This window comes from Homo sapiens, chromosome 13 (genome assembly GCF_000001405.40).
Source record: "Homo sapiens chromosome 13, GRCh38.p14 Primary Assembly".
NCBI lineage: Eukaryota > Metazoa > Chordata > Mammalia > Primates > Hominidae > Homo > Homo sapiens.
This window is the reverse complement of record NC_000013.11, coordinates 42,665,770-42,681,102: the sequence shown is the minus strand read 5'-3', so window position 1 is coordinate 42,681,102 and position 15,333 is coordinate 42,665,770.

Genomic DNA, 15,333 nt, shown 5'->3' with positions numbered 1-15,333 from the left:
ATTGACACATGGATAGCGATGCCTCTGTTTGTAAATCTGCTAAAATCAGTGCTCCTTTTAAAAAAATTGGCTGCAGTACCATGGAAGCTCCAGGCTCTGCATTGGCATCTGGGGTGACAGTAACATTAAGAGGAAGGCTGAATTACAGAGGCTCCTGGAGCTGCCGGGGGCTGCTGGTCTACCACAAGAAACCACACAGCCTCCTTGTTCCTTATGCAGAAACCATCCCTGAACCTGCTCAGAGGGCTGGAGAACTGAGAGGAAAGAAATTCATATCCTGGATGTCTTTGACAGTAATGTGTTGGTGGGAGTTTAGAGACAATGGGGTTTCCTTTTTCTAGATTTTGATTTTTTTTATTTTTGCTGTGTTAACGGAAAAACCAAGTTCTGTAATATATTTTAAAGAAGTTTATTCTGAGCCCAGGGAAAACAGTCTCAAGAGGTCCTGAGAAAGTACGCCCAAGGTGGTTGGGTTACAGTTTGGTTTTATATGTTTCAGTAAGACAGAAATTGGACATAAAATAAAAAATCAATACATAGAAGGAATACTTGGTTTAGTCCAAAAAGGCAGGACATTTTGAAGACAGGACTTACAAATCAAGGTGGGTTTTAGGGATTTTTTTAGTTGACAGTTTGTTGAAAGAGTTAAGCCTTGTCTAAAGACTTGAAGTCAGTAGAAAGGCATGCTTAAGTTAAGACGAGGGGATCTGCTCTCTGTCATGGGATGCTATTCCATGAGAGTCAGATTGGGAAGTAAGCCACATTATACCAGGTTAATTAAAAAAAAAACCATTTAACGAGATTTTATGGTTTATAGGGCATGACTTTAATCCTTGCCTGGCATAGCCTTAGGTCTTGTTTATAATTTGGTATCTTATTGCAACAAGAGTCCATTCTGGGCTGGGCGCAGTGGCTCACACCTATAATCCTAGCACTTTGAGAGGCTGAGGCAGGTGGATTACCTGAGGTCAGGAGTTCGAGACCAGCCTGGGCAACATGGCGAAATCACGTCTCTACTAAAAATACAAAAATTAGCTGAGTGTGGTGGTGCATGCCTGTGATCCCAGCTACTCGGGAGGCTGAGGCAGGAGAATCACTTGAACCCAGGAGGCGGAAGTTGCAATGAGCTGAGATCACGCCACTGCACTCCAGCCTGGGTAACAGAGCGAGACTCTGTCACAAAAAAAAAAAAGTCCATTCTGTCAGTCTTATGACCTCTATTTTAACATTAATGCTGGTCAGTTATGCCTAAACTCCAAAAGAGGGAGGATAACATGGCATGTCCAATCTCCTTTCCCAACAGGGCCAAAAATTCAGTTTTTCAGGTTTCTCTGAGGTCCTCTTGGCCAAGATGGAATCCGTTCAGTTGGTTAGGAGGCTTAGGATTTTATTTTCAGTTTACAGCTGTAATGTTTTGCTTGTGTCCCAATCTCCTGAACTTTCTTAATTTAACCGCTTCCTTCCCTGATCCTTTTCTTCCCTTCTCTGTCCCCAGCCTCACCCCACAGGCTTATAGGAAATTTGGCCTTCTCCTACACTCTGCAATCAGACACCCATCCTCTGCCTTGTCAGGAAGGTAAGAAGCTTTTTCTTGGAGTACTGTCAGCTTTGACACTGCTTCCACTCTGTCCTCAGAATGGGATGACAATCTGACTTCAGAATGCATTTCCAGCATGTAGGATTCTGCCTTATTTTTTACCCAGTCTCCTGCTAATAACTGGCTTCCCGCTCTTTCTGCCCCTACCTGAGTCTCTGCTGCACTTTGCTGACCAAGATCCTTCCATCTCAGGGAATGGAGCCACACCACTGACTGATGGGCCTTCTCAGGTTTGGTCATTTGCTGTGCTTGGATTTCTGCCAATCACCAGCTACAAGACACCCTTGCCCCAGAGCTTCACCCACTCAGGCTGAGCTCCTGGCCTGTTGTATATGTGTGGCCACTGTCTGCTTCTGGTTGCCTAGAACACCCTTCACACACTTACTCTCTCCCCTCTCCCTTCAGGTGGGCCCTTTGGGTTCAGAGCTTGGCTGAGTCATGGTTATGATTGGGGCTTGTATCTAGAAGAGGTAAACAGTGCCAGTACATGGCAAGTAATGTTCTAGTAATATAGATATATTCAAAAGAATCACTGTCTCGGCTGAGACTGAATGGCATCAAAACTGTCCCAAATTCATGAGCTCTTAAAATAGTTTCAATTAGTTTCAGTTATCTGAACAGAGTTGGAGGTGCAATAATAAGCTCCACAATGTTTTCACACTGATTCAGCTAATAGATGTCAAGCTATTTGCTGTCGGTACCCTATTGATTAAGGTAGGACAGGTAAACAGCTGAGAATCTGCGTTAAAATTAATTTAGTCAGTCAAGGAGGAATGCTCCATGGTGGGAGGTGTTTTGCTTAAGGAAGGAAAATGCATCCTATAAACATTCATATCAGAACTTTTAAATAGCTCAATCCCCTGAGGACCAGACACAAAAAGGGTCTTTGTGATTTTTCTTTTGGTCCGGGATGATCTTGTGTCCAAGATGGAAGTTGCAAGGTGTGGACCACTCCTTCTTTCTAGAATGCAACCAAGCACCCCAAGGAAGAGTGAGAAGAGTGTCTCCAGTTACTACACATGTAGATTTGTTGCAGAGCGAGTACTGAGATCACAGCTCGATGAAGGTACTGCTACTACTACGCTGGGTCCCAAATGGGCACAGCTCATTCTCCATAAAGAGAGAAGAGTTTCCCATCCTGTCAATCTGTCAATCACCACATTCTAGGCCAACAGTCTATGGACAACTCTGGAGCTTCCAAAAAGCAGATGCTGAGATGAGATTTAAACATGGAACGAATGTATTACAGAAAATGTGGAGGGATTCAGGAGAGGCTGAGAGAACCATCAGATGACAATGCAGGTCTATCTCGAGTGAGAGAGAGAGGCTAGAAGGAAGGAGTGAAGTCATGCTCACAGGGTTAACCAGAATTCTGGACAGACATACAGTTATAACTAAGCAGTAATCAGGCTGCACCTTGGCCCACTTCCTGTTGCTAAAAGTCACCATAACACTAGATACTGACCATTTGCAACCCCATTGTTCCTAGAGATAAAATTTCTGACCTTAGAATAATGAGGCTATTGCTTTATGTGTTTTTCAGGTCCTGAATTCCAGCAAAACAGCTGAACAGCTGATGGCAAGCAGTTTGAAGACCTCCACAGAGGAACCAAATCAGCATGAGAATACAGTTTCTTCATCTCCCTCCCCCATGACTTCACCCTGCACTCTTCCATCAATCAACAATCTCCACACTCTTAAAAATCCTAGCCCAGAACTCCTTGGGGAGACAGATTTGAGGTTCCCTCTTATCTCCTCATTAGGCAGCCCTATAATTAAACTTCTTTCTCTGCTGCAACCTGGTGTCTTGGTGTACTGACTTGCCACACATCGGGCAATGGACCTATTACAGTTACAGGAGGGTTGAGAGCATGCATCTTGGACCACAGAACAGTTCTAAGAAAAGCTCGGGAAGCCTGATGGGGCAAAATTGTTTATCAGAGAGACACTGCATTTCCTGGGAAGGGGCCTTCCTTAGTATGCCTGTGGTATTCATCAGGGAGCAGCCCAATGGGAAGATGGCCTCAGCACAAATGCAGCTGTGGATTTCAAAGCACAGCATTTGGGTCCATCGGTCGATTTGCTTCCTGCAATCAGAAAACCGTGAGGCCTCTTCTCACATCCACCATACAAAGTACCTCTTAAAAGTCATTTATAGTGTGTAATCCTGTCCGCATCAAGGAGATTTAAGGAGGTTTAGTAATGCATTAACAACAATAACAAAAATATCTCAAAGATTAAAAATGAATAATTAATGCAGGAAAAGAAAAAGATGTGGTAATAAGAATAACTACCCTTTAGGATATGGGGAAGAGGGAACCCTTATACGTTGTTGGTGAAAATGTAAATTAGTACAGCCACTATGGATAACAGTATGGAGGCTCCTCAAAAAAATAAAAATAGAACTACCATGTGACCCAGCAATCCCACTGTTAGGCATATACCCAAAATAAAGGAATGTTGAAGACGTATCTGCACTTCCATGTTTATTGCAGCACTATTCACAATAGTCAAGATTTAGAAGCAACCTAAGTGTCCATCAACAGATGAATGGAAAAAGAAAATGTGGTACACATACACAATGAAATACTGTTCATCCAAAAAAAAAAAAAAGAAAAGAAAAAAACTGAAATCCTGTCATTTGCAACAATATGGATAGAACTGGAGGTCATTACGTTAAGTGAAATAAGCCAGGTATGGAAAGGCAAACTTCACCTGTTCTCACTGTGGAAGCTAAAAATTAAAGCAATTAAACTTTTGGAGACAGACAGTAGAATGATGGTTACTGGGAAGGGTAGCTGAAAGTGGAAGGGAGTGGGGATGGTTAATGGGTACAAAAATATAGTTAGATAGGATGAATATGAGCTAATATTTGATAGCACAGCAGAGTGATTACAGTCCACAGTAATTTATTGTACATTTAAAAATAACTAAAAGAGTAATCTCAGCACTTTGGGAGACAATTTTTTAGAAACAAACAAACAAAAAAGATAGCTATCCTTTATTTAGCACCTACCAAGCACCAGGCACTTTATGTCCTTATCTCTAATCTTTTCAACAACCTTCAAAAGTCATTTTACCAAGGACATATGGTTAAAGGGGTTAAGTGATTGGTCTAAGGCTACACAGTCAGTGTGTTGAATAGTCAGTATCTGAATCTATGTCTTTGGGTCCAAAACTATGCTCTTTCTACTTTGTCACACTGAGGAGGAGAAGAGAAGAGAGCAATTGTGTCAGAAAATAGGCTGCAGACAATAAGCACAAAACTTCCCTCTGAATACCCTGGCAGCCAAGGAAGAGGGAAAGATGCTCTCATTGGCTTTTAAAGGAAGCAGGTGAAAAGGTAACATGAAGGGTAATTGTTTTCCTGGTCTTGAGTTCTAAAAGAAATTTGGTGAATCAAGTCTGAAAAATGAAGAATATTAAAAGATGCGGCCGGGCGCGGTGGCTCACGCCTGTAATCCCAGCACTTTGGGAGGCCGAGGCGGGTGGATCATGAGGTCAGGAGATCGAGACCATCCTGGCTAACAAGGTGAAACCCCGTCTCTACTAAAAATACAAAAAATTAGCCGGGCGCAGTGGCGGGCGCCTGTAGTCCCAGCTACTCGGGAGGCTGAGGCAGGAGAATGGCGTGAACCCGGGAAGCGGAGCTTGCAGTGAGCCGAGATTGCGCCACTGCAGTCCGCAGTCCGGCCTGGGAGACAGAGCGATACTCCGTCTCAAAAAAAAAAAAAAAAAAAAAAAAAAAAAAAAAAGATGCTTGAGAAAGAGGAATAGTCATGGATGAATTATGTGTTTGCAATATGGCTTTAGCTTTTCAGCAGTTCCATAGCATGTAGGATTTCAGCACATTTAACATTGTTCTGAAACCATCGCCATTGCAAAATTATGCCTGAGATAGTGAAAGAGATCTGACCTAACCAATTCCATCTTGCTTCTAACCTCCAAGCTGTCCTTGTTCGTTCCTGGACATAGGCTGAACTAACTTTGGGAGGAATTTAGTTTAAAGTTTAAAACAAAGATGATAACAGCCCTTTCCCAAAACAAATCTTCTTGCCTGGCACTAGACTGCCTTTGTAGGACTAACAAATTAGCCAAAAGATTAGAAATTATGATTTGGGAGTAATGCAGCCGGAGGCCACAAGTTTCTGATCCTCCTAAAATTGCTCGTGGGGATAACATCACTATTGTAAAACCTAAGGCCAGTGCTTGAGATATTTTGCAGATCCTGCACTTGATGGATCAGCTGCTGCTACCCAGATCTATTAAAGTGGCTCATCTGATCTTGTGGCCCCCATCTAGGAACTGACCCAGCACAAGAAGACAGCTTTGACTCACTAATATTTCATCTCCAACCTGACCGATCAGCGCTCCTTGCTCATTGGCCCCCACTACCCACCAAATTATTCTTAAAACCTCAGATCCCCAAACGCTCAGGAGACTGATTTGAGTAATAATAAAACTCTGGTCTCCCACACAGCCATCCCCACATGGATTACTCTTTCTCTATTGCAGTTCCCCTGTCTTGATAAATTGGCTCTGTCTAGGCAACCAGCAAGGTGAACCTGTTAGGCAGTCACAGTTCTGTCCTCAGTGAGAGCAGGTGGAAGGAATGTGGATTTCACTTCTTTTCACGTTTGTGTAGCAGACCCCAAACCCAGCACATTTCAAAGGAAGGACTGGCTCTTGACCAGCGGCTGCAAGATATTCTCTGAGCCTTTGGAATATCCTGCCTGATAAGTTTGTCTTTGTATACCCGGGGCCTAGGGCCGCACCAGATAGTTTATGCTGACAATGTTCCTTATGGTAGATGCATGCTTTTGTATACCTGAGGCTGTGGACCATGCTGTGTCAGTTTGGCCTTTTAGGGAAGCTGGAGACTGAGTAGCTAAGGCCAGTCCTATGGGCACTACCTGTCTACATGACTGGTTCCCAATAAAACTCACTGGACACCAAGGCTGAGGTGAGCTTCCCTGTTTGGCAATACTTAGTACATGTTGTCACCCATTGTTGCTGAGAGAATTAAACACTGTCTATGCAACTCCACCGGAAGAGGATAACCGGAAGCTCTGTCCCTCATCTTTCCTAAAATCTGACCTATGTATCTTTCTCCTTTGCTGCTTCATCCATATCCTTTTGCTGTAATAAACCATAACCATGAGTGTAACTGCTTTTCTGGGCCTCGTGAGTCTTTCTAGTAAATCATCAAACCTGAGGGTGGTCTTGGGGACCACTGGCACAATGTCTTACCCTATCTCCTTCCCTTCATCTTCTTCTGATATACTGACATTTTCTTTTTCTTTTCTAATTTCCTTTCCTTCCCCAAATGCCAGTAAAGGGCAGATGGTAACCTCTCGTGGCTGGGCATCTTTCTTTCCATACCTCAATAATTGCTAACAACTGTAAAATGAGAGTGAGATGGGCCTGTATTATAATTCTTTCTATTCTTAGATCTCAAATCACTTGACAAACAGCATTTAATCCTCCAAATAGCAAAGGACCATATAGTGTGATTCTTTCCACTGCACAAATGAGAAAACCAAGATCCAGGCATGACAGATTGTCCATGCCTTACAGAGCTGTCCACAGGCCATGCTTGAGAATGACAAAACTGGCCTTACTGGTTATTGCTTCTGGTCCTCCACTCCTCAGCTCTTGTTAAGACCACCTGATTAAATCATGACAGTATTGAGAAAAATGACTTTGAAAAGAGGCCGACTCCCGTGCTTTCTGCTTCTCCCTGCTCCCTGGGGGACACATTCTCAGTCAGATGTTCTTCCCACCAATTTCATTAGCACTGAGTTATAAGGATAAAAATATCCCACCCCTGTCACTGACAAGTTACCTTCTGCATGGAACTTACCGAGTCATCTTTTCTTTGGTAATATTGTCAGTGACATGTTTGTTGCTGTCAGCAAGGCAAAGGCAGTGCAACTGATTCAGGGTGACCTGGGCTCTGTTCCGCTCTGAACATCAATAAAATTGCCAGGTCTGCTTGGATTTCAGAATTTGTATTGTAGGTAATGATGATATATGAGCTCATGGAATATATTTGATCTTCAGTGATAAGAATTGTTCTGGCAGCTAAGGATGGAAAAAAATCATTTTGATCTACAGTATGGACAGGTTTCTTCTGATATGGATGTCATCAGTAGAAAATGCAAATGAGCACCAAGATGCCACTTCTACCCAGAGAATCGGCCCATATTGTCAAAGGAGTGAAAGCTGCAATGTGCCAGAGAAGCTGAGAAGGGATGGGGAGTGGGGTGGGGAAAAAGTCAACTGGGGAAACCAAATTTCAAGTCACCTGAATTCTATTCACGCTCTATTATGCCCAGCCTCTAGTGTCATGCTGAGGACACAATCACGTTCAAGCAAATGATTACCGTCCGTGCACCCAGGTAATCTGAAAAGACAATTATGGCCCAGGAAGGCAGTTTCTGCAAGGCAATCAGGATGTGGCAGGGGCCAACTGACACAGCCCCCAGTTGAGACTTTGAGGAACAGTCGGACGCTAGTGGTAATTAAAAGTGCCGAGCAGCACTGGGGAGGCTGCCTGGGCTGGAGTTTCTGGGAGGAAGCTCCTTCCCTGCCCCTGCTCCCTGTCAGCAGGAGCAGAACAGATTCTCCTGCTGGGTTGAACTGTTCTAAATAAGACTTTTTGCGTGCAATAAAATATACATAACATAACATTTACCATTTTAACAATTCCGAGTGTGCAGTTCAGTGGCATTAAGTATAGTCACATCATTGTGCAGCCGTCCCAATCATCACATCTCCAGAGCTTATTCATCACCCCCAACAGAAACTCTGTACCCATTACATAACTCCCCTTTCCACCTGCCCCCCTCTGTCCCTGGGAACTACTATATTCTTTTCTGTCTCTATGAATTTTCTAGATATAGCATAAGTAGAATCATACAATATTTGCCCTTTTGTGCATGGTTCATTTTATTTAGCACGTTTTCTGGGTTCATCCGTGTTGTGGCATGTATCAGAATCTCATTCTCTTTTTAAGGCTGAATAACATTCCATTGTATGTATATAACACATCTTGTTTATCCATTCATCCTTTGATGGACGTTGGGGTTTTTTTCCAGCTTTTGGCTTTTGTGAATAATGCTGTTATGGGTGTATAAATGTGTTTACATTTTTACTTTTCATTATTTTGAGTTTATACCCAGAATTGGAATTGCTGGATCATATGGTAATTCTATGTTTAATTATTCTAGGAATCACCATATAAATTAAAAAAATTTTTTTTGAAACAGCGTCTTCCTTTGTCACCCAGGCTGGAGTACAGTGGTATGATCATGACTCACTGAAGCTTCGACCTTCTGGGCTCAGTCAAGCCTCCAACCTCTGCTTCCCAAGTAGCTGGTACCACAAGGATGTGCCACTATGCCCATCTAATTTCTAAACATTGTTTTTAGAGAAAGGGTCTCGCTATATTGCCAAACTCCCGGGCTCAAGCAATCCTCTTGCCTTGGTCTCCCAAGGTGCTGGGGTTACAGGCATGAGCCACCGCACCCAGCCAATAGAAAATTTTAAATGTAGAAAACCTCTTAGTGTTTTAGAGAAGCCCTTTTGTGGCAGGTTGAGCAACTACCATATATTGTATGGGGAAAATTACTATAGGAAGAAGGTAGGCTGCCCCTCACACAGTAATCCTGTATCTATAATATAATCCTTGGCTGTCAAACGCCTTTAGAGCTCTATTCATGTACACACACTACTAGGTGCTAGGGATGCAGCAGTGAAAACGACAGGAGCCAACCCCGCCAAGGGAAACAGAGGGAGATAAGTTGGCATATGGGGGAAGGGCAGCTAGGGTGAGGGACACCAAAGCTCAGCTGAGAAGTGAAGCCAAGAAATGCCAGTTGCTGCTTATCGAATGCCTGATAGAAGTCAGAAGCTAGCCGTTTCTTAACATAGCCTAATTTAATCTTCACAAGTATTATCATTACTCCATTTTACCGATGAGCAAACTGTGAGGCTCGAAGAGGGAGCAAACCCCAGGACGTAAAAGATGACACAAATATCTTCACCATCTCATTGGTGTTAAGAGAGACAGAGGTACAGCCAAGGAGGCAGGGGTTTCAGGCCATTGCTTATAGTAGTGAAAATAGTTTCTCCCAACTTCATTTCAGATCACGGTTCTATGATTTACTGGGCCTGTCCATTTATGTGAGGAGATGTGAAAAGATACCATGTGCTTAAATTTCCAGCCACTAACTCATTTCTAGCAATGAGTACATTTGGAACTGGTTAAGAGAGAAAATATAGAATTACAAGCTCTTTTGAGAAATTCTTTGTTAAACCATAAATTCCTCAAAGATAGGTACATCTGTAGTCTAATACTTAATTTGATGCACCACACACTACATACAGTAGTATGATTGATTCCATAAATCAATTTGATAAATGTTTATAGAGCAATTACTATTTGTTCAATACTGAAATGTGAGCATCATTCTTTTGGCTTTAGGGAGCATGCAGTTTCGCTTATGGAGCAATAAGAGGAAACCATAAGACTACATGCATTTAGGTGGTAATTTACATAAAATTGGTACAAGCATCTGGATCCAACAGGAATGAAAATAGATGTCTTATATTGAGGGCTTACCTCATGCACTGAGTGACATAAGCTTTCTTACACACATAATCTACTATATTCCTTTTGCCAACCCACTGAAGCAGGGATGTGTTGCATTTCCAGAGGAAACATGGGGCATATGTAGGTTAAGCAGCTTGCCCAGTGTCACACAAATAGCAAATGATTGAGGTGGAATTCCATCTCAAGGCTTTCTGATTCTAAAGTCCATGCTCTTGACTATAAATGTTGGGTTTTAAAAATCACCTTTCATGAAATTCCCAAGCATAGCACAAGACAGAAATTATGGCAGGGATGTGAGGGGTCCATGATGGCAAGTGACCGTGGATAAAAGAAGAGATTGGTGAGCCCATATCAGGCACTCCACAATAACATAAGTTCAAAGCACAGGGAGGCCCCAGTGCCAAGAATTCCCACCTCCAAGCATGAGTTTTCTGCTCTATAGGAAATAGAAGAGCAGGAACCCTCATTATTTCTTTATTTTTAATAGAGTCTAATTTTAAGAGCAGTTTTAGATTCTTATGAAAATTTAGAGGAAGATACATAGATTTTCCATATGGCCCCTGCTCCCACACATTCATAGCTTCTCCCATTATCAATATTCCGCACCAGAGTGATACATTTACATCTGTTTACAGAGTGATACATACAAACTGATGAAACTACATTGATACATCATTATCACCCAAAGACCATAGTTTATATTAGGGTGATAATCTTGGTGATGTACATCTTATGGGTTTGGACAAATGTATAACGGTACATATCATATCCACCATTATAGTATCATACAGAGGGTTTTCACTGCCCTAAAAATCTTCTCTGCTCCACCTATTCATTCCTCCCACTCCCTGACCCCTGGCAACCACTGATTTTTTTACTGTCTCTATCATTTTGACTTTTCTAGAATGTCATATAGTTGGAACTATATAGCATGTAGCCTTTTCAGATTGGCTTCTTTCATTTAATAATATGCATTTAGGTTTCCTCCATGTCGTTTCACAGCTTAGCAGCTCATTTCTTTTTAGCACTGAATAATATGCCATTTTCTGGATGTACCACAGTTTATTTATTCATTCACCTACTGAAGGACATCTTGGTTGCTTCCAAGTTTTGGCAATCATAAACAAAGCTGTTATAAACATTTGTGTGCAGATTTTGTGTAGACATAAGTTTTTGATTCCTTTGGAAAAATATCAAGGAAGGTGATTACTGGATCACATGGTAAGAGTATGTATAGTCTTGCAAGAAACCACAAAATTGTCTTCCAAAAGGCCTGTACTATTTTGCTTTCCCACCAACAATGAATGAGAATTCCTGTTGTTTCATATCCTTTTCAGCATTTGGGGTTGTCAGTGGTCTGGATTTTGACCACTCTAACATGTATGTAGTGATATATGATTGTTTCAATTTGCATTTCCTTGATGACATGTGACAAGGAACATCTTTTTTGACATCATTCTGTTGTGAGGTGTCTATTAATGTCTTTGGCACATATTAAATCAGGTCGTTTGGATTCTATTGCTGCGTTTTTAAGAGTTTTTTGCATATTTTGGATAGTAGCCCATTATCAGATATGCGTTTTGCAAATTCTCCCCATCTGTGGCTTGTCTTTCATTTTCTTGACAGCGTCTTTTGCAAAAGCAGAATTTTTTAATTTTAATGAAGACCAACGTATAATTTCTTTCTTACGTGAAGAATTCCTTTTTATTTTTGTCTTAAACAACAACAAATTATCTTCTCACAGTTCTGGGGACTGGAAGTCCAAGATCAAGGTGCTGGGGTATGTTTCCTCTGACGGCCGTAAGGGAAGCTCTGTTCCCTGAGCTTCCAGGGAGGCATCTCTCCCTGGCTTGCAGCTGGCTGCCCTCTTGCTGTCTCTTCACACGGTTGTCCCTCTCTGCATGTGTGCCCCTGATGCCTCTCTCTGTGTGTCCTAGTCTCCTCTTTTTTTAAAAAAAAAACTTTTATTTTAGGTTCAGGGGTACATGTGCAGGTTTGTTTATAGGTAAACTCATTTCCTGGGGGTTCGTTGTACAGATTATTTTGTTACCCAGGTACTAAGTCTAGTACCCGATAGTTATTTTTTCTGCTCCTCTCCCTCTTCCCATCCTCCACTCCTAAGTGGCCCCCATGTCTGTTGCTCCCTCATGAAGCATTCCTTTGGTGTCATATCTAAAAAGTCATTGTCAAAACTAAGGCCACCTAAATTTTCTTCTATGTTATTTTTTAGAAGTTTTATTATTGGGTGTTTTACATTTCGGTCTGTGACCCATTTTGAATTAATTTTTGTGAAGGGTATAAAGTCTGTTCTAGGTTCATGTGTTGATATATGTGTACATGCTTGTTCCAGAACCATTTGTTGAAGGACTATCTTCTCTCCATTGTATTGCCTTAAATCCCTTTGTCAAAGTTCAGTTGACTATATTTATGTGGGTCTATATCTGGACTCTATTCTGTTCTATTGATCTACTTGTCTATTTTTTCATCAATATCATACCATCTTGATTACTATAGCTTTATATTAAATCTTAAAGTCAGATATTAACAGTACTCCAAATTTTTCTTTTCCTTCAATATTGTGTCAGCTGTTCTGTGTCTTTTGCCACATAAACCTTAGAATAGTTTGTTGCTATCCACAAACTAACTTGCTGGGTTTTTTATTGGAATTTCATTTGATCTATAGATCAAGTTGAAAAAAACTGACATCTTGACAATATTGAGTCTTCTTATTTATAAACATAGAATGTCTCTCCATTTATTTAATTCTACTTTGATTTCTTTAGTCATAGTTTTGTAGGTTTTTATTGAGATATTATAAATATTTTGTTAGATTTATACCTAAGTATTTCATTTTAGGAAGTGTTAGCATAAGCTGTATTTCATATTTAATTTTAAATTCCAGTTGTCCAGTGCTGGTATATAAGAAAGCAATTGACTTTTGTTTATTACCCTTGTATCCTGCAACCTTCCTATAATCACTTACTAGTTCCAGAAGTTTTTTTTGTTGTTGATAATTCTTTCAGGGTTTCTACATATATAATGATGTCATCTGCAAACAATGACAGTTTTATTTCTTCCTTCACTCTCAGTATACATTTTATTTCCTTTTCTTGTCTTATGGCATTAGCTAAAATTTCTAGTACAGTGTTGAAGAGGAATGGTAAGGGACATCTTTGCCTTGTTCCTGATCTTAGTGGGAAAACTTCTAGTTTCACACCATTATGTGTGAGGTTAGCTCTAGGTATTTTGTAGATATTCTTTATCAAGTTCAGCGAGCTTCCCTCTATTCCAAATTTCCTGGGTTTTTTTTCTTTCTTTCAATCAGGAATGGGTGTTGGATTTTGTCAAATGCTTTTTCTGCATCTATTCATATAATCATGTGATTTTTCTTCTTTAGCCTGTTGATGTGATGAATTACATTAATTAATTTTTGAATATTGAACCAGCCTTGAATACACGGGATAAATACCCAGGTGTTAAGAATAAGAAAAATAAGAAGTTTTTATTTTACCTTCACTTTTTCATTCTTCAATGCTCTTCCTTTCTTTACGTAAGTCCAAATTTCAGACCTATATAATTTTTCTTCTTTTTAAAGAACTTTTTTTTTTTAGCATTTCTTGCAAGCAAGGCAGGTCTACTAGCAGCAAATTTCCTCAATTTTTGTTTGTCTTAGAAAATCTATTTCTCCTTCCCTTTTGAATGACTATTTCACCAGGAACAGAACTCTGGTTATGTTTTGTTTTTTTTCCCCCTCTCTCAATACTTTAAATATTTCACTCCATTCTCTTCTTGCTTGCATGGTCTCTGAGAAGTCAGATGCAACTCTTATCTTTGCTCTTCTGTAGGTGAGATGTTTTTTCCCTCTGACTCCTTTCAGAATTGTTTTCTTTACCTCTAATTTTATGTAGTGTAGATGTGATATTCCCATGTGTAGTTGTTTTGGCATTTTTTCTTTTTGGTGTTTTCTGAGCTTCCTGAGTCTGTGGTTTGATATCTGACATTAATTTGGGGGGAAATTCTCTGTTATTGTTTGTTTCAAGTATTTCCTTTGTTCCTTTCCCTCTTTCTTCTCTTTTTGGTATTCTCATTACATATATGTTACACCTTTGGTTGTTTTCCCACAGTTCTTGGATATTCTGTTCTGTTTTTTTTCAGGCTTTTGTCTCTTTACTTTTCAGTTTGTGAGGTTTCTACTGATGTATCTTCAAGCTCAGGTATTTTTCTTCAGTTGTGTCCAGTCTACTAATAAGCTCACCAAAGTCATTCTTCATTTCTATTACAGTGCTGTTGTTATTGTTGTTGTTTTAACGTTATTTTATTGTGGTAAAAACAATTAACATGATATCTACCCTGTCAACAAAATTTTAAGTTTGCGATACATTATTGTTGACTGTAGGTACAATATTGTACAGTAGATCTCTAGAGCTTATTCATCTTGCTAAACTGAAATTTCATGCCTGTTGGTTAGTAACTCCTCATTTCTTTCTCCCCCCAGGTCCTAGCAACATCATTCTACTCTTTGATTCTATGATTTTGGCTTTTTAAGATATCTCATATAAGTGAAATCATACTGTATTTGTCACAATATTTTTTATCCCTTTTTGATCTTAGAATTTCCGTCTTGGTTTACATTGCCCATCTGTTCTTACATACTGTCTACTTTATCCATTAAAGCCCTTAGCATATTAATCATAGTTGTTTTAGATTCTTGGTCTAATAATTTCAGCATCCCTGCCATATCTGAGTCTGATTCTGATGCTTGCTCCATCACTTCAAACTGTATTCTTGCCTTTTAGAGTGCCTTCTAATATTTTTGAACTTGGACATGATGCACCAGGTAGAAGAAAATGCTCTAAATAGACCTTTCATAATGTAATAATAAGATGCTTGTGGAGGAAAAGCATTCTAAGGTTCTACGATTACTTCTAAAGTCTTTTCGTGAGCCTGTACCTCTGGGACTGTGAAGTTTTCAAGTGCTTCTCAGTTTTCCTTCCTTTAAGTGAGACAAGATGGCTAGATGACCTGGAGTTGGGTATTTCCCTTTCCTGGCTAAACCCCCGGCAGATTAGGCTGTGGTTGAATAGTTTCTCCTGAGAGTAGACCTTGTTAAGAAGAATAG